Source organism: Homo sapiens, chromosome 13 (assembly GCF_000001405.40).
Source record: "Homo sapiens chromosome 13, GRCh38.p14 Primary Assembly".
In the NCBI taxonomy this organism is placed as follows: Eukaryota; Metazoa; Chordata; class Mammalia; order Primates; family Hominidae; genus Homo; species Homo sapiens.
This window is the reverse complement of record NC_000013.11, coordinates 98,349,267-98,369,354: the sequence shown is the minus strand read 5'-3', so window position 1 is coordinate 98,369,354 and position 20,088 is coordinate 98,349,267. Positions and strand designations below refer to the sequence as shown.

At 43.1% G+C, this 20,088-nt stretch overlaps 1 protein-coding gene across 2 annotated transcripts in view; it reads right to left on the bottom strand.

The window, feature by feature from the left end:
* Nucleotides 1-20,088, bottom strand: part of FARP1 (FERM, ARH/RhoGEF and pleckstrin domain protein 1) — a 312,588-nt gene that overhangs the window by 85,822 nt on the left and 206,678 nt on the right. For both annotated transcript variants that reach the window (NM_001286839.2, NM_005766.4), the window contains exons 4-5: nt 3,918-3,960; nt 1,160-1,238 (exon numbers count right to left, since the gene is read on the bottom strand). In NM_001286839.2, the coding sequence (NP_001273768.1) occupies nt 1,160-1,238; nt 3,918-3,960 (122 nt within the window). The remainder of the gene's footprint in view (nt 1-1,159; nt 1,239-3,917; nt 3,961-20,088) is intronic.

The following is a 20,088-nucleotide window of genomic DNA, read 5'->3' as shown; positions in this document are numbered from 1 at the left end:
AGAATTAGGCTGGTTAGATTAGTGTCCTCTGAAGGATTCTCTTCAAAGGGAATCATTTTATCCACACATGTTCCTGCCAGCTCTGCCCTCTTTTGGAACACCATCAGTCTTGCCTCAAATTATAAAATGAGGTTGGGCGCAGTGGCTCACGCACATAATCCCAGCATTTTGGGAGGCTGAAGCAGGTGGATCACTTGAGGTCAGGAGTTCGAGACCAGTCTGGCCAACATGGTGAAATGCTGTCTCTACTAAAAATATAAAATTAGCTGGGTGTGGTGGTGGGCACCTGTAGTCCCAGCTACTCAGGAGGCTGAGGCAGGAGAATCGCTTGAATCCGGGAGGCAGAGGTTGCAGTGAGCTGAGACTGCGTCACTGCACTCCAACCTGGGCGACAGAGAGAGACTCTGTTGCAAAAAAAAAAAAAAGGTATATATAAAATGAGTAGAAGTGATGATGTGATGATGGTGATAATGACGATGGTGATGATGATGGTGACGACAATGAAAACAGTGATGGTGATGGTGACAATGGTGGTGTTGATAGTTACCATTTACAGTGTCCCTACTGGATCCCAGCTACTCTAGTATAATACTGCTTATCCTCAAAACCACTCTGGCCAAGCAAGCATTAGAGTCCACACTGTAATAGGGGAAGTAATGGCAACACAAAGGGAGAAAGTAACTGGCCCGTCACAGCAAGTGGCAGGATGGTGGCCGAAGCCAGGTCTGACTCAATGCCTGCACTTCTTCCACGCGGTCACACTTTGAAAAGAATTGACCTCCAGTTCCTGCCAAATCTACCACCCATGGCAGCGGCAAAGACAAACTCTGAGTTGACATGTTGGTTTCACAGAAGAGATTCACATCCAGAACAGTCCATGATGTGACATATAAGATGGAAAATGTGCTATTAACAGAGTATAAGCCCAGGATTCACTTCATATCACAACCTTCAAGAAACCAAGTTTTAGGGAAAACAGTACTTCTCCCCCCATTTTTGTAAGCAGGGCTGGGAAAGAGGAAGGTTAAACTGTTCAGTACAGAACAGATGCTGGTCAAGTAAACATTATGAAAATGTTTGTGTCATCAATTGAGAACATTCATTTTCTCTTTTCCTCTGTACTCTGTAGCAAAAAATACACAGTTTCCAAACCACTAACCTTGTGAGTTCTTCTTGGAGTTGTGTGTGGTCAGGCGGAAAGAATTTCACCACAAACTTAACAACAACGTGCTTTGGCCCTAAAGAAGAAGAAAAAAAGAAGTAAAGCATTTACTGATTTGTGTTTCAAATGCCATTAAAGAAAAAGACTTTACAAATACAAATAATGCATCTCATTCCAAGCTGCCAAGTGCACATCTGCCATTTTCCAAGTCACTTAACAACTGGCCAAGTTCAGCTACTAATTCACACTTCCATATTGTGGGGAAAGAGAGATCCATTTTTAAAAAATACTGTGACAAAAGTACTACATAGAGCTATTAAATTTTTTCTCTGCAGACTTAAATTTTATCTAGGTTTTTTAAAATAAAGTCATTTGTCTTCAAAAATGTATCTAATTGGCTGGTTTTACCCAAATAATGAAAACATACATCAGTTATGCAATTCATTATATTTAACTATTTATAAGGTACAGTTGCTAATATGTTCATCAAATATGTTTTCAGCCTCTAGGTGCTCTTCTGAGCTCTGGGGAAAACATACACCAGATGTGGCCCTGGCTTTGTCTCAGCCAGCCAAGGCCTTTATCAGTATCTTATAAACCCTCTTACCAATGAGTTTAGACAAAATCAGGAAGTAGATAGGGAGTGAGGGGAGGGAGAGATTGAATAAGATGAACAACTTTTCAGAATTTAAAAAAAAAAAAAGAAAGAAAACAGGACAGACAGATTATAAAATAATAATCTGTGGCCAGGCGCGGTGGCTCACACCTGTCATGCCAGCAATTTGGGAGGCTGAGGTGGGCGGATCATCTGTGGCCAGGAGTTTGAAACCAGCCTGGCCAAGATGGCAAAACCCTGTCTGTACTAAAAATTAGTCAGGCGTGGTGGCGGGCGCCTATAATCCCAGCTACTCAGGAGGCTGAGGCATGAGACTCATTTGAACCCAGGAAGTGGAGATGGCAGTGAGCAGAGATCGTGCCACTGCACTCCAGCCTGGTGTGAGAGAGCAAGACTCCATCTCAATCATCATCATCATCATCATCATCATCATCATCATCATCTGTGATTTGCATTGGAGTTTTTTTGTTTTGATGTGTAAGCTACAATATAAGCCATCTTAAAAGGTCTGCCCTTTGGAATGATAGCAATACATTTATGTTCTATGAAATATAAGGTACTATAATGAAATCTAAATTTTAACTGTCCTATTACAAAAGCAGAAAAATGTCTGTTTTACTTTTCACTATCATATACAAATACTAATTATGTATTATAATTTCTGTGATCACATATTCAAGTTTAAAAAAAGCAAAAATGACATACAATAAAGATGTTGACAATATGTACAAAATTGGGAGAAAAAAACAAGGCATTAAAATTAACAAACTCTTACATGTCAATTCTGGAGCACAAAATAACAGCAGCAAAATGAGGAAGACGAGAAGGCTGCACCACTTATTCTCTGCGATTTTCACTGAGCGGCTACTCAGATCCTTAGAAAACTTGAAACTAGGAAGATGCTAGCACTCAATGCCAAGTGACAGCTTTGTCACACATGGCCTGTCACAGCATATGGAGGAGACAACTACAGTAATGCTCCAGCTCTGACCCAACCAGAGTCAACTCTGTCTTCAGGTCTGCGCCAAAGATATACCTTGCCACTGTTAGCAGTTCCCTTCATGCGGGGGACAAATGTCGATCTCCTAGACTCTATGCTACCTGGGCCCATGAGGCTGGGGGGCTTCTCTTCGCCCCCAACACTAGTCGTTGCCTGCCAGCCATGCTCAGGACACCCAGCAAATATTAAATGATGGCCATTTCATTGTCAGTATAATTATTATAAGTAACTGCTTAATTGAAATTGTAGATGATCAACATCAATTTCAATTGCACACGGGCCACACAGAAATTGTGCTGCGTGTTTATTACATCCACATCAATTGCTGTAAGTGGCCCAGTGGGGTTTCTTAATCAGACATACAAATGATCCCATAGGTACTGTAAGCTTCATGCTCAACTAAAAGGATACAGTATTCTCAGATTTTTGTCCAGACTCTGACTACATTGAAGGGCCATTTGGGATGACATTGGGACCAGAGCTTGATGCTGAATTTTAGCTCAAAGCATAGAGAGGGGAAGACACAAGAAGAGAGAGAAAAAGGAAGCATTCTTTTTCTTTGTTCCTCCCCTACACATTCCTTAATCTTTTCTTTCCAACACACAGTCTAAATGCATACATGCCAGCCTCCCTTCAGGGCTCTGCTTGCTACTCAGAAACACACACACACACACACACACACCACATACACACACACACTCACACTTTCGGCCACTCTTTTTCCCAAACAATACCTGCATTCTGATTTCACAGGCTTTGAAGAGGAAGGACCAAAAACCTAAAAACAATTTTATGAATAAATGGCTCCACCTCTTCCCTTCGAAAGTGACAGAAAGGAACAATGGCATAGACAAGACAAGCTCAATTATTCTGGGGTTTAAGATAATAGCAGGCTTCAGTTGTTAATCAAAATGATATTTTATTTTCCAAGCTCGGTTTTGATTACCAAACTGTTACACATTAAAACTGCAGAAGACACACATTTTAATAGTACACGGATTAGTCGATGATGAAAAGCAATTATGGGGTAGAAGAATTTGTGTTTCTAGTGCTTCATGCCACAGGGCAAGAGATGTCTAGACATGAAACTGTCTGGCTTCAGATTTCACATCACTATTAAACATATGGTATATACTCACTTCTAATCTGTTTCACAATGGGTTTTAGGAGATCCAGCCACACCTAGAAGGGAAAAAAGAACAGATTAAGACCTAAGTTCTCAATGAAAGAGTGCAAGTATTTTGAGATTTTGTTTAAAGCTGTTTAAAATCAAAATATTTTTGAGGATATGAGGCCGCCTGTTCCATTTTTCTCCAGAATGCCGTATCTTACGTTGTCTACCACTTTTATAAAACAGATCCTAATTTGCTGATATTATCCCTGAGCTTGAAAATTAAAATTGCTCCTAGACTCAGATACACATGGTTAACTAAGAAGTTTTCTATTCTCATTTATACATTTATCATATTTACCTATTTGGAAAATATTAATGAATGATTTCATTTGTGACTATCAGCCGAGTGAAATACGTACATTCCTTATTGAAACAGAATACATAGATGTGTGAGTGTCTAGAACAGCACATCTTTGAGGGATGCGGAAAGGGAATGAATATTTACAGAACACCACCTCTGCACCATGCACTACCTATAAGCTACTGACCTCTCCAGACAAGGCCAGAGGGATTCTTGTTACCCAGGAGTGACATCTGAGACTTGCAGAGGCTAATTTGCCCCAGGTCCCTCAGCTAGAGAGTGACACTGCTAGGACTGAAATCCAGTCTAACTTCAAAGTCCAGACTCTCTTTCACACATCTGCTTCTTGGCACACAGTCTGGATAGCGAACTTTTCAAGGAAGAGAGAAACCTGCTGCCTTTATTAATAAAATGTAAGTTGACCATCCCATTTCATGTGTTTTTTTCTTTAAACTCCCCCTTGAATTTCTAGTCATTTGAAAGGGTTCCACAGAAGCTCATATTTGCATATATGACAAAACTAAGTTAATGTGCTTAATAGAAAGAGGGTTTTATAAGTAAATATGAAAACGAGAAACAGCCCTTTAGAAAATCATGCTGAGAACCACAGATAATTTACAAAGAGAAAATGCCAACAGCTAACAGAAAACTGTTGACGTTCAGGAGTAATCTGCACTAGAAATGCAAATTGAAACAATTAAATACCATTTCCACCCATTAAATTTCCATCTAGATATGGCTGTACACACACTTGCTTGCATGTTTATATTTTATAATAGCCAAAGTTGGCCAGGGTTCAGGGAAGCAGGCACCATCTTACTCTACTGATAGATACATGGATTAGTACAACTTTTCTGGAGACTTATTAGAGAATCAGGACCTAAGCCCTAAAAAGTACTACCCAGTCATTTCACTTTGGGAAATTATGCATTTCTGCACACACAAGGAATACTAATTGCAGCATTTTTATCATCGTAAACATTTTTACAGTAACCTAAATTAAGTAGAATAATGTACATCATTATGACACATTACCATGCAGGCATTAAAAATCGAAAGACAGGCCAGGTGCGGTGGCTGACACCTCTAATCCCAGCACTTTGGGAGGCCAAGGCAGGTGGATCACAAGGTCAGGAGTTCGAGACCAGCCTAGCCAACGTGGTGAAACCCCATCTGTACTACAAATATAAAAATTAGCTGGGCACAGTGGCGGGCACCTGTAATCCCAGCTACTTGGGAGGCTGAGGCAGGAGAATCACTTGAACCCAAGAGACAGAGGTTGCAGTGAGCCAAGATCGCACCACTGCACTCTAGCCTGGGGGACAGAGCGAGACTCTGTCTTGAAAAAAGAAAGAAATAAATAAATTCAAAAGACAGGAGTCACAGGAGAGCCTAGACCTTTATTGAGATTTCCATGGCAGGGCAAGGCAGGGTACACAGTTTAGGACTGGCCCGTTGGAATAATTTTGGCAATCTCTTAATTATAGGAGCGGTCTGGAGTTGCCTGTTACCAGGCGCTGAGATGATTCAGGCAGAGGAATACTGCTCCCAGGGATGGGCAGGTCAGATAAAGGAGGCAGCCCTGGGTTGGTTTCTTTGTATATCAAAGGTGGGTACCCCCAGCTGGGCCCTGCTAGCTCTAAGGACTGGCTAGCACTGGAAGCCGCAGTCTCTTCTTAGCCAGAAAGGTCTTTTAAGATGTCAAAACACCACAATATGCAGAAAATTCTATATATATGCAATACACACGGAAGGGGCAGAGGTAGGGAGCAATCTTCCCTGAAAATGACCCTGTGCTAAGATCTCAAAGGGAAGAAAGACAAGCAGAATCTATGAAAACAGACAGTAAAAACCCTAGTCCTGATGCCCAGATGATCATCATGGCTGCAGAGCAGGGCTGGTGGGTCAGGAAGAGGCCTGGCCCCGCCAAGGCCACATTCAGACGCTTGGTCCTTATCCTAAGAGCAATGGGAAGGAACTACCCCATGGGGAGGACATGATTAGATTTGTATTTTTAAAAGATGAGTCTGGCAGCGTGAGAACAGGTTAGAAGGAGCAAGAATGGATGCAGGTTGAGCTGTTGGCAATTGTCCAGGCAAGACAGGACGGTATTTTGGACCAGAATGGCAGAAGTAGAGTTTGAGAAAGTAGGTGGATTCAAGAACAACTGAAGACGTAACAACCAGTGGAATGCACTGATGGATACGATGCCCAGGGAAGGAGGTGACAATAACCGGAATAACACTGAGATTTCTGCAGCAGGCATCTGGGCAGACACTGGTGCCACCTCCAGAGATAGCGAGCACTGCAGGATGACTGGGACTGAGAGGTTCCAGCCGAGTTAATTTTCTGAGGTGTCCTTGGATCATACAGGGAGAGACAGTATACAAACAATGACACACATTCATCTGGAGCTCAGAGGAGAAGCCTGGGCAAGACATCTCACATTTAGAAGGTGCCACCACCCTGACTCCATGGAGGATAAGACGGCCAGCGTAGAGTCTAAAGAATTAAAATGCATGAGCGTTGGCCAATATGTCCACCATGGACAGCCAGGTAGGAGCAGAGGAGGCGTGAAGTAAAGGAAGGAGAGAACTGTGTCATGGACATCATGGGATGACAGTGTCCGCAAAGGAAGAAACTGAGAACTGTCTCAAACTCACACCCGTCCTTGACTCAGTGATTCAGCAGGTCACTTGACCCAGGGTTGGGTCTGAACGTCTGGTGCATGGGGAAGAGGATGAATGGCTTCGTCAAGAAACTTGGCTGTGAAGCAAGAGGCAACAGAATGGGGGGTAGCTGGCTGGGGAATCAGGTAAGGGTATTGTTCACTTGCTTGTTTTGTTGTTGTTGTTTGAGACAGCGTCTCACTGTCACCCAGGCTGGAGTGCAGTGGCGCAGCCTCAACTTCCCAGGCTCAGGCAATCCTCCCACCTCAGCTTCCCGGGTAGCTGGGACTACAGGCACATGCCACCATGCCTGGCTAACTTTCATATTTTTTGTAGAGACAGTGTTTCGCCATGTTGCCCAGGCTGGTCTCGAAATCCTGGGCTCAAGCAATCCACCTGCCTCGGCCTCCCAAAGTGCTGGGATTATAGGCATGAGCCACTTTGCCCAACCCGTTTACTTGTTTTTAACTGGAATGACCTGCATGTATTTAAGAAAGGGAGGGGTTAAAAATAGGGGCAAGAGGCGATGACCGATATCCAAAGAGACCTGAGATGATGCGAACACAGAGCTCTAAAACCCAGGACACTGGCTTAGGATGGAAACAACATCCTAAGGGATAGGGATAGGGACAGGCTAATGACAGATCAAAGGAGGTTCATCCTCCTTCGATCTGTGAGAGGGACAGGGACAGGCTAATGACAGATTGAAGGAGGTTCACCTTTCTGTGTTAGGAAAACAAGAAAATTCCTCTCTGATGCCTTCTGTTTCCCTTGTAAAATCAGAGGGCTGGAGGATACAGGAGAGTGGAGAAGTTTCCAAACTGTCATGCTGCCTGAGAGGGTGAGTTAACCAGAGAGCGCACTGGGAGCCTGCTGTCCCAGCCACTAAACTCTCTTGCCACTGCCAGGGTGGCCACAGAACCAGCCTAAACTTCTGCAAACTCCCCAGGACGAATCAATGACACTTTGGCAGTGCAGTTGCCTATTTTATGAATTGTTTTTAAACATCTCTCCTCTGTTTCTGGCATTTCTGTGGAAAGCATCAAACACAAGCACCTATTTGAGCCAAGGGAGCATGTGGTTTTATAACACATGGGGCTGGGAGCACAAGATGGGCCTGGGTAATTCAGTGTGTTCAGCAGCTCCGCAGCGGGAACACTGCAAGAAGCCGATCACACCCCAACGCAACCAGGCTGGGTGAGGATGCATGGCCTGTGAGGACCTATCTGTTTCCCAGCGAGATTGCAGAGCTGAGGGAGAAGGTCTGGGGCACGCTGGACTTAAACCATTAGAAATGGATGAGCTGGGAGCAGCAAAAAGAAAAAAGAGGTTGCCACTCAACTGCAGTGAAAGCACTGGCCTTTGCTATGCAGCGAGGGTCACAGGGAGGCGAGCGGAGCTGGACTAGGTCATCCTGGGCTAGTCACTTTTTCCCGCATCCTAAGCACACAGAAACCAGTTACCGATGAGTTAAAAGGTAACAAAAACACCATAAGCTTTCTCTAGAGGGTCACATTTGTTATGATCTCTTTAACCCCAAACTCCTACCCCTTCAACCAAACCGTAGCCCCTGTTCTCACTGAAATCTATGCCGCTGATCTCTTGAACACACTCACACATCCACATGGCCTGACTGGAAAGGCATCTGGCTGAAATGAATGGACCTCTAGAGAAATCTCATTGCCCATCAGTAGGATTCAAAGATGCACCTGCTTACTGAATCCAGGCGCCTCTGCCAGGGTTTGAAGGCCTACTGTATTTATTAGTTTGCTGAGGCTGCCATAACGAAGTACCACAGACTGGATGGCCTAAACTACAGAAGTTTATTCCCCCACCATTCTGGAGGCTGCAGGTGCCAGCAGCTGTGGGTTCTCCTAGAGCCCCCATCCCTGGCTTCTGGACAGCTGCCACCTCGATGCATCCTTGCCTGGTCTTTCCCCTGTGCGAGCATTTCCAGTGTCTGTCCAAGTGGCCTCTTTTAAGGAGTAGGGCCTACATACACCAAGGGCCTCGCTTTAACTTAATCACCTCTTCAGAGACTTAAGCTGAGCGCTCACGCCTGTAATCCTAGCACTTTGGGAGGCCAAGGTGGGTGGATCATCTGAGGTCAGGAGTTTGAGACCAGCCTGGCCAACATGGCGAAAGCCCATCTCTACTAAAAGTATAAAAATTAGCCAGCCGTGGTGGCGCATGCCTGTAATCCCAGCTACTCGGGAGGCTGAGGCAGGAGAATTGCTTGAACCCAGGAGGCGGAGCTTGCAGTGATTTGAGACAGCACCATTGCACTCCAGCCTGTGTGACAGAGGAGACTCCATCTCAAAAAAAAAAAAAAAAAAAAAAAAGCAACACAATCTCTGAATACACTCACATTCTGAGGAATTCAGGGTTAGGGTTTCAACACACACAATTTTGGAGGGGACAAATTCAGCCCGTAGCACTGTTCTTCCATAATTCAGCTGCAATACCGCCTTTGAGCCCATCTTGCTCCATTTCAGTCAGGCGCCCTGTTTTCTTTCCTCCAATCCGATTTGTCTCTGATGCCCTGTTAATGCTACCTTCCCCGTTTGGAACACATGTGTGCTTTGCACATCATTAGGTGACCTTGGCATTGTGTGAGCATCATACAGTGAACTTACACACACCTAGGTGGCATAGCCTACCACCCACCAAGGCCAGGTACAGCCTACTGCTGTCAGGCTGCAAACCTGCACAACCGCTTACTGTGCTGAATACTGAGGCCAACTCCAACACACTGGCAACTACCTGTGCATCTAAACACAGAAAAGGTACAGTGAAGACCCAGGATTATAGTCTCATGGGACCACCATCGTACACGCAGTCTGTCATCCACAAGGTCAGTATGTGGCCTGTGGCTGTACTCGGAGGTGAGAGGAGATACTAAGGCCAACGTATCAAAGGCAGGGCAAGCTGAATCACTATCCCCAAAGCTGTTCTCCTCTTTCTCAAAACATCCTTTTTCCCCCTATTATTTTGGTGGGTGATGTTTTAGGTGGATTTCATAAGCAACTGGAATGTTTGAGGTGTTTTGGAAAGGGTCTTATTAAAAGATAATCAGTTATTTGATATGAGAGCAGGGGCAGGGAAGGGACTAATATTTCTTGAGCACCCACTGTGTGCCAGGCAGTGGGTAAGTGCTTCACACATTCTCATTTAATATTCAAAACAATGTGGTCACTTCACACATGAATGAAGGCAAGCTCAGAGGGCTTATTCAAGCTGCTCAATGTCACATAGCTTGAATCTGACATCAAGTCCGGCTGAATCCAAGACTAATATGCTTCCCTCCAAAGCTAAAGGACTCAACAAAAGTTCAGTTCTCTTCTTAACTACCAAAACAGCATATGACAAAAACAACCTGTCAACTGTAACACATATAGGAGCCAAGAAAATATTTGTCATAGAAAAATATCCAGTGTCTAGAATTCATTGCAACAAATTAGTCTTTCTGCAGTTGACTCCTAAAAGAAAAAGAAAGAGCCGTGCGCGGTGCCTCACGTCTGTAATTCCAGCACTTTGGGAGGCTGAGGCAGGCGAATCACAAGGTCAGGAGATCGAGACCATCCTGGCTAACATGGTGAAACCCCGTCTCTACAAAAAATACAAAAAAAATTAGCCGGGCGTGGTGGCAGGTGCCTGTAGTCCCAACTACTCGAGAGGCTGAGGCAGGAGAATCACTTGAACCTGCGAGGCGGAGGTTACAGTGAGCCAAGATCGCGCCATTGCACTCCAGCCTGGGTGACAGAGTGAGAAAAAAGAAAAAAAGAAAAAGAAAGAAACAAAAAAACTTTACTTTGAATTCTTTGTAATAATTTGTTTCAAAGTAATTTTAAAAATTATTTGACTTTATTAATTTTACATTTGGTTATATTTAAAAGATATGTTAAGTGTGGCTTTCTTGTAAACACCTATCACTTTCTAGAGATTTTCACTTCCGGTCAAAATAGAGTAACAGGGACTGGATTTATTTTCCTATACAAAGCAACTCCAAAAATGGAGAAAATATATAACACAACAGATCTGAAAACATGGTACACCAAGCAGTGAGAAACGGTGATCTCCAAGAGACAGGAAAATGAAAATGTGATCCCTGTGAGCGCCCCAGCCTGCTGCCTTGAGTGAGTTTCCAGGCTCTGGTGTAGGAAGGAGGAACACAGGTAGGATGCGGCCAAATCCATGAGTGCAAGAGATGGAGGGGAGAGTTCAGGGGGGCCAAAGGGATGCGAGTTCACAGGACAGAGTACCAGGGAGTAGAGAGATACCCAAAAAAAACTTAGGAGAGCCACAGGGGGTTATCCTTGAATGTGTGGGAAGTAGTCAAGGTCAGGAAAAAAAAAAAAAAACAGAAATGTATTAGAGGTAACAGTGCCTAGTGCTCACAGGGCCAGGAATACTACCTATTCCCATCAGCCAGTCTGGAAAACCTCATGATTCCTGGGGCCTTGGCAGAGTGCTGAAGAGTCACGCTTTAGTAGTCGGGAATAATTCACCCCAGACTATGCCCTACAGTGTCCAGGCTAACAAGTCTTAAAAACCAAATCCAAAAGGATCAAATCGCTTCCAAATAACTATATCCCAGAACAAATTCAATAAAACTTACAGTAATACAGAAGTATGCAGCATATGTGACATCCAATTTTTAAAAATCAGGTACAAGAAGCAGGAAAATGTGACCCACAAGGAAACAACAAAAATCAGTAAAAACTAACCTAGAACTCACACGAATGACAGACTCCATAGAGAAGGACATGAAAATAATTATTCTAACTATATTCCATATGTTTGAAAAGTTGAGATATGGAAGATATAAAAAAAGATCCAAGCTAAACTTCTACAGTGAAAACTATACTGTGAGATATAAAATGTTATGCTCTCTGGATGACTGTAACAGCAGATCAGCATTCCCGAAGAAAATATTACTAAACTTGAAGACCTAACAATAGAAATAATCCAAAATGAAACACACACAAAATTTAAAAAGCAACAAAACTGTAGAACACTTTAAGCAGCCTAATGTACAGTAAGTCCTCACCATTGTCAATACATTCTCAGAAAACTGCTACTATAAGCAAAAGGAAGGATAACAACAAAGGATATAAAATGAAGTCATCAAAAAATTTCAATTGAAAGGAAGGCAGATAAAAGGAACAAAAGATGATGGCTAGACAAAAAGAAAACAAACAGCAAGGTGTTCAATTTAAACTATATCAATAATCACATTAAATGTAAATGGTCTAACCCCTCCACCCCCCATTAAAAGGCAAGGATTGTTAGTCTGGATTAAAAAAGAAAAAAGCAAGTATATGCTGCCTACAAAAATACACTGCTAATGTAAAGACACAAATAAGTTAAACAAAAAAGGGTGAAAGTACACCATACTAAAAAATAATAATTTAAAAACTGAAGTGGCTATATTAGTGTTGGGCAATGCAGATGTCAGAATAAAGAATATTGCTGGGGATTTAAAAAAGGGTAATTTCTTGGCCGGGCTCAGTGGCTCATGCCTAATCCCAGCACTTTGGGAGGCTGAGGCAGGTGGATTACCTGAGGTCAGGAGTTCGCGACCAGCCTGGCCAACATGGTGAAACTCTGTCTCTACTAAAAATACAAAAATTAGCCGGGCGTGGTGGCGGGCACCTATAGTCCCAGTTAGGAGGCTGAGGCAGGAGAATCACTGGAACCTGGAAGGCAGAGGTTGCAGTGAGCTGAGATTGTGCCACTACACTCTAGCCTGGGCAACAGAGCGAGGCTGTCTCAAAAATAAATAAATAAATAAATAAATAAATAAATAAAATTTTAAAAGGGTAATTTCTTAATGATAATGGAGTCACTTAGTCAAGAGCACGAAACAATCTTAAATATTTATACACTTAATAACAATTTTAAAATACATGATTAGGAAACTGATGAGACTGCAAGGAGAAACAGTCATGCACCGCATAGTGACATTTCAGTCAAGAACAGGCGCATAATACGTCAGTGGTATATATCATAATCCTGTATTTTTTACTGTACCTTTTTTAGTTTAGAAACACAAATACTTACCATTATAATTGCCTATTGTATTCAGTTCAGTAATATGCTATAGAGACAACCGTACTTACACCACCTGTTTGTGTAAGTACACTCTGTGATGTCCGCACAATGAAATTGCCTAAAAACACATTTCTCAGAACATATAGCCATCGTTAAGTGACGCATGACTGTAGAAAAATCAACAATTATAATTACAGAGATTTTTAATATTTATTTCTCAATATTAGTATGTAGGCAGAAAATAAATAATAGATTTGAACAACGTAACCTCATTGAAATATATTGAATATCCTACCCAACACAGAACATACAGTCTTTTCCAAGTGCATGTAAAACACTTGCCAACATAAGACATATTCGGGACCATAAAACAAGTATCAGTAAATTACTTTAAAAGCTTCATGTCATATGAACTATGATTTCTGACCACTATGGAATTCAATAATAAAGCAACAATTGAAGAATTTGTGAAAAATCTCCCATAGATTTAGAAATGAAATACCATACTTTTAAATAAAGAAGAAACCAAGGGGAAATGGGAAAGTATTGAAAATGAAAACACAATTTGTGGATGCCACAAAGAAATCAACCTTTGTGGGATGCCACAAAAAAACCCTATTAATTTTAAAAATAATCTATTACAATTTAAACATATGTAATCTAGAAAATTAGATAATTCAAATACGGAAAATTTTTAAAAATATGTTTTTCACCATTAGGAGATCATCATTAACACTTTAGGGAAGTGGTTCTCAAAGTTGAGCATGTATTAAAATTGCCCTAAGTAAGGGCTTGTTGAAACGTACACCACTGGGCCCTGTTCCCAGAGTTCCTAATCTGGGATGCGGCCCTGAGAATGTGCATTCCTAGCCAGTTCTCAGGTGATGTGGATGCTGCTTGTTGGTCTGTGGACCATGCTTTAAGAACCACTGCCTTAGTACATACATTTCCATATCTCTCATTATATGTGATGTGTATGAATATAAACATTCATATACTTTTTAAAAACCAAAATGAGATTTTTTATTTTTTTGAGACAGGGTCTTATTCTGTCACCCAGGCTGGAGTACAGTGGCTCGATCTTGGCTCAATGAAACCTCTACCTTCTGGGTTCAAGTGATCCTCTTGCCTCAGCCCCCTCAAGTAGCTAGGACTACAGGTGTGAGCCACCATGCCTGGCTAGTTTTTGTATTTTTTGTAGAGGGGTTTCACCATGTTTCTCAGGCTGGTCTTACACTCCTGAGCTCAAGTGATCCACATGCCTCAGCCACCCAAAGCGCTAGGATTACAGGCATGAGACATCTTGCCTGGTCACCAAAATAAAATTTTAAAAATGGTTTCATATTTTATCTAACCCCATCTGTGCAGAATATTACCAATTAAATATGTAATCAGTATAAAAACATGATTAATGAGATATTTTGCTTTCTTTGCTACTCTTTGGAATTCCACACCTATTTCATACTTAGATTACATTTCAATTTGCACTAGCTATGTTTCAAGTGCTTATTACCTAAAGCTTAAGAACTTTGGATAAATGAAAATATAATTTTGTCTAAGACTTCTTTCCCTCTACATAATGTAGTATACCATAGTCTGTTTAACAATTCTTCTCTTGATGGCACATGTGCGATTTCCAGTTTGGAGTTATGAATAAAACTGCAAAGAATATTTTTATACTTATTTTTATGGACATAAGCTTTCATTTCTCTTACGTAAATACTTAGGAGTAGAACTGCTGTGTCAAAAAAATTAGTGTATATTTAGTTTAATAAGAATCCTACCAGACTCTTTTCAAAATTGTTTTATCAGCTACTTCTTTTTTCAAAGATTTGTACCTCTCCATTTTGTAAACTTTCCTCTCATCAAATACTCAGGCAATATTCAAATTCCTCCAATTAACTAAAGAACGTCCTTATTGGTGATCTGTCAAAACTAACGTCCAAACCAAGACCATGTTTCATATCTGGTTATGTCCTCTAAGTCTCTTTTCATCTATCCTACTACCTCTCCCTACCTTCCCTTTTTGACAACACTAATCTGGTGAAGGGAATCTGTGTTTAATAAAATTTGAACTGAAAATCGTAGAATATGGTTTTACGTATTTACCAAAAAAGCTTTAAATGAAAAAGAAATTAAAGACAGATCTGCAAACCAAACTACAAAATCAAATGTAGTACAGGCTATCCCTATGCACTTGTGTACTGAACTCATTAAGTAGGAGTTGGTATTAGAGATATATGTGAAGGGAAGCTTTGGAATCAAACCAAGACAATATTACAATGCAATGTGTGGGGTTTCAGGGAGCCTGGACTTGGAGGGAAGCTTTAATATCTACAATCTTTACTTCTTAACCAGGATTCAGCAGACCTCAGGCATGGTCCTTGCAAAACATCAATTACTCAGTTTAAACTATTTTTAAATCATTTGTTTAATTTTCATTAGCTTCGAATGACTCATTTCAAAAGATTTCACATGGGTGTTATGGTTAATTGAACTCTTAAAAATTGTGGTAAGAAGAGTTAACATGAGATCTACCCTCTCAAAATTTTAAGCATGCAACACAGTGTTAACTATAGATAAAATGCTATACAACCCTTTAAACTATCATTTGCTTATTCTGCTGTATACCTTTTTCCTTTTCAACCTTTAAAAAATATTTAATATTAAAATAAACAGATGCTTAAAACTACAAAAAGCAGGCCGGGTGTGGTGGCTCATGCCTATAATCCTAGCACTTTGGGAGGCCGAGGCAGGTGGATCACCTGAGGTCAGGAGTTCGAGACCAGCCTGACCAACATGGAGAAACCCCATCTCTACTAAAAATACAAAATTAGCTGGGCATGGTTGCACATGCCTGTGATCCTAGCTACTCGGGAGGCTGAGACAGGAGGATCACTTGAACCTGGGAGGCGGAGGTTGCAGTGAGCCGAGATTGCACCATTCCACTCCAGCCTGGGCAACAAGAGTGAAACTCTGTTTCAAAAAGTAATAATAATAATACTGCACAAAGCAAATGTACAGCTTAGTGAATTATTAGATGGTAAACACCCTTGTATCTATCAACCAAGTCAAGAAATCAAACTCTGCTGGTCAACTCCTTCCAAACTGAACTCCCGCCCTCTACAGGTAACCACTATGCAGAGTTTCATCGTAACTGCATAAGTCTGTAATGTGTTATTTTGCCACATGGTGCATCTTTATACGCCAGAGTTTAGTCTTAAGACTAAACCACTCTAGCCTTGAGACTCATGAATGGCTTCGCACCATCCCCTTGGGTAATAAATATGTTTTCACTCAGAGTTCATGGGAGATCTGGTTAAAAGTGTGTGGTGCCCCCACCCCCAAATTGCTTAGTCTTTATAGTCTTAAGACTAAACTCTGGTGTATAAAGATGCACGATGTGGTGAAATAAAACATTACAAACATATGCAGTTACTCTGAAACTCTGCATGGAGGTTACTTGTAGAGGGCAGGAGTTTATATTGTTTAATCTATAGCTTCCTCTTCCATCTCTTTCTTTTCCTCACTGTTGACTTGTAGGGTTTCCTGGAGTTTGGATTTTGCTGACTGCACACTCACAGTACTATTCAACATGATCATCTTCCCTGTAGTTTCTACAATTTGGCAGCTGGATCCACCTGAATCCTTTGGCAAGGCCAAACGTGGTGTCTCAGGAAGAACACATTGAAGTCTCTGTTTTTTAAATATCATTATGACCTTGATACATTTTTGTTACTCATTTTTATGTGAAAATTGTTTCCTAACCTGTTTAAAGTCATGGTTCAGAGTAGCTTTTCAAAGCTCCCAGAGCTTCCTTGTCTATTGTTTCTGTACAGTGTTGAAGGATATGGAAGCGTGCTTTCTCAAGTTCCCTGGCTCGATTGCCCTCCCCTTCTCTGTCATTTCTCTCTGTTGTCCCAACTCAGTTCCATATGGGCTCCCCTCTCAGTAGTCTCTCTTGAGTGATGGCCCGTCTCAAGGGGCAGTTACTGGTCACTGGAGCACAGCTGCTCCAGCCCTGTTAGGCCTTACCCATTTCAGCTGCTCTTCTCAAACCATTTCCCTGTGATTTCCAGTGGCAATTTGAGGGTTCTCTTCTGCCACCCATCAGACGCCCTATTGTTTCCTCATTTCTTCCTAAACACACACCGATGGCGTGCAGGCCTTGGGGCTGGCTGATGTTCTGTCTCCAGCTGCTTGTTCTTTGGGATCTAGGACTTACTATGGCATCTAGTTTTGCCACAGATGTTGTCTGTGGGTTTTTGATTTTGCTAAGTAGCTGTCTTTATGTACGGCCTTGGGTTTGAGAAGATCTAAAAACTATGCTTCCACCACCACCACCACCTTCTTAGAACTGCATATCCATTTTGAAACATATTATTTCTATGTATTTTTTCTTTAACCACTGATATGGTTTGGGTATTTGTCCCTTCCAAATCTTGTTGAAATGTGATTCCCAGTGTTGGGGGTGGGTCCTGGCGGGAGGCGACTGGTTCACGGGGACGGGTCCCTCATGAGTGGTTTGGCACCAGCTCCTTGGGTAATAAGCATGTTTCCACGCAGAGTCCATGGGCGATCCGGCTGTTTGTGTGTGGTGCCTCCCCACCCCCAATTGCTCTCTCTCTTGCAGCATGACACGCCTGTTCCTACTTCACCTTCTGCCATGAGTAAAAACTTCCTGAGGCCTCACCATGCTTATAGAGCCTACAGAACCATGAGCCAATTAAACCTCTTTTCTTTTTTTCTTTCTTTTTTTTTTTTTTTTAGATGGAGTCTTGCTTTGTTGCCCAGGCTGGAGAGCAGTGGCGTGATCTCAGCTCACTGCGAGCTCCGCCTCCCGGGTTCACGCCATTCTCCTGCCTCAGCCTCCCAAGTAGCTGGCACTACAGGCGCCTGCCACCACGCCCAGCTAATTTTTCGTATTTTTAGTAGAGACGGGGTTTCACCCTGTTAGCCAGGATGGTCTTGATCTCCTGACCTTGTGATCTGCCTGCCTCGGCCTCGCAAAGTGCTGGGATTACAGGCGTGAGCCACCGCGCCCGGCCAAACCTCTTTTCTTTATAAATTACCCAGCCTCAGGTATTTACTTATAGCAACACAAATGGCCTAACACAAGCACATTTCTTATTCAGGTATGATACGGCCAACAGCTCAGCAGGCCACTGCCATTCAGAAGAGGGTTTATTACTCACAGTTCCCAAGAGGAGGGGGCCCACCACTCCACAAGGAAGTACCAGGGCTGGGCTGGAGGCAGAGGGAGAGGGGGAGGGGGAACAAGGGCAGGATCGCTTCTGTGGGGAGGCGAGGCTGGGCAGGGGAGGCGAGGCTGGGCAGGGGAGGCGAGGCTGGGCAGGGGAGGCGAGGCTGGGCAGGGGAGGCGAGGCTGGGCAGGGTAAGCAGGTTTAGCACTGGCTCATCTGCATCATTTCCGTGGGCTCTGGGGTGTGGTTGGCTCTGGTTGTGGGTACCTGGCCCTGAAGGTGACTGTTGCCTCCTGGAGTGTCAGAACCAGCAGGAAGGAGGTGGCTGGATAGGCCTCTGGATTGGTTAATTGGCAAATAAAGGGTACACTCACAGGGAGCCATTTGCCATCTCTAAGAATTGGCTAGCCCGGGGAGGGGAAGTAGCTCCCCAGTCAACAAGGCCTCAGGTGTCAGAGAGTACAGAAAATTAAAAAGTACAGAGGGAAAAGATCAGGGGTTGCCAGGTGCTCACGAGGAGAGAGGGAGGAACTGGAGGAGCACAGGGAAGGATCAGGGCGGTAACACAACTCTGTGTAATACTGTTGTGGTAGATGCAAGTCCAGAAACATGTGTCAAAACCCACAGAATGTTCAACAGCAAGAGTGAAGCCTAATGTCAAGTTTGGACCGCAGTGAATGAATGATAATGGATTGACACTGGCCCATCAGCGAGGACACACATGCCACACGAAGGCACAGTGTCAGTAACGGGGGACACTGTAAGTACGGACAGAGCGGGAACAGTATATAGGAACCTCTGTACTTCTGGCTCAATTTTGTTGTCAACTTAAAACTGCAATACAAATATTAAATCTATTAATTAAACAAACAAAACACTAAAAGCCCCAAAATCAGTTATTCTCCTTCCCACTTGAGAGCTGGAGCATCTCCCACAGCTGTATTTTCCAAAGGGCCTGTCCTCCCAGACTCTCTGCTTGAGGGGAGCTTTGCCTCCTCTGGGGACCTGCCTGTCAACACAGTCACCATTAGATGGTGCTGCCCCGCGAGGTGACCGAGCCGCTGTACAACCTCACCTCTGCTGGCTTCCCACAGCTGCAGGCTGTCCTCGATCCTGTGACATTCTCCATCCTTTACACCTCCCATGTTCCTCAAAAAGCTCCTCCTCACCTCAGAGGTCCTCAGACCCCTAGGAAGAAGCGAGGGCAGACGCTGCGGCTAAGCACAGATGAAGGAGGTGTGTCTGACTCCAGCAGGGTCTAGAAACCTCCAGCAAGGGATGCCCGTCATCCCCGGGAACTGCAGTTTCCATGACCTCCTGCCCCTCAAAAGCAGTCCCACTATTGACAAAGCTTTTCTCCTAGCATGGAGGACAGAAAATGAATGACAAGGTGCCAATCTTCTTCCTGGAGCTTCGACAGTATTTATTTATAAGAAACCAGAATTGATTTTATCAGGCCAGTAAGCATTGTCTTTTTTTTTTTTTTTTTTTTTTTTTTTTTTCCCTGAGATGGGTCTTGCTCTGTCGCCAAGCTTGAGTGCAGTGGTGCGATCTCGGCTCACTGCATCCTCCGCCTCCTGGGTTCAAGTGATTCTCCTGCCACAGCCTCTCAAGTAACTGCGAATATAGACGCGTGCCACCAAACGGGCTAATTTTTGTATTTTTAGTAGAGATGGGGTTTCACCATGTTGGCCAGGCTGGTGTCAATCACCTGACCTCAAGTGATCTGCCTGCCTCGGCCTCCCAAAGTGCTGGGATTACAGGCATGAGCCACCCACCCAGCCACAATGTCATTTTAATAAAACAGTGGTGGGCTGGCTTCACTGGTTTCTGAGTTAGATTGCAAAAATGAAATACAACAGATATCTGAGTGCCTACTATGTGCCATGAGACCTGCTGGGCTCATCA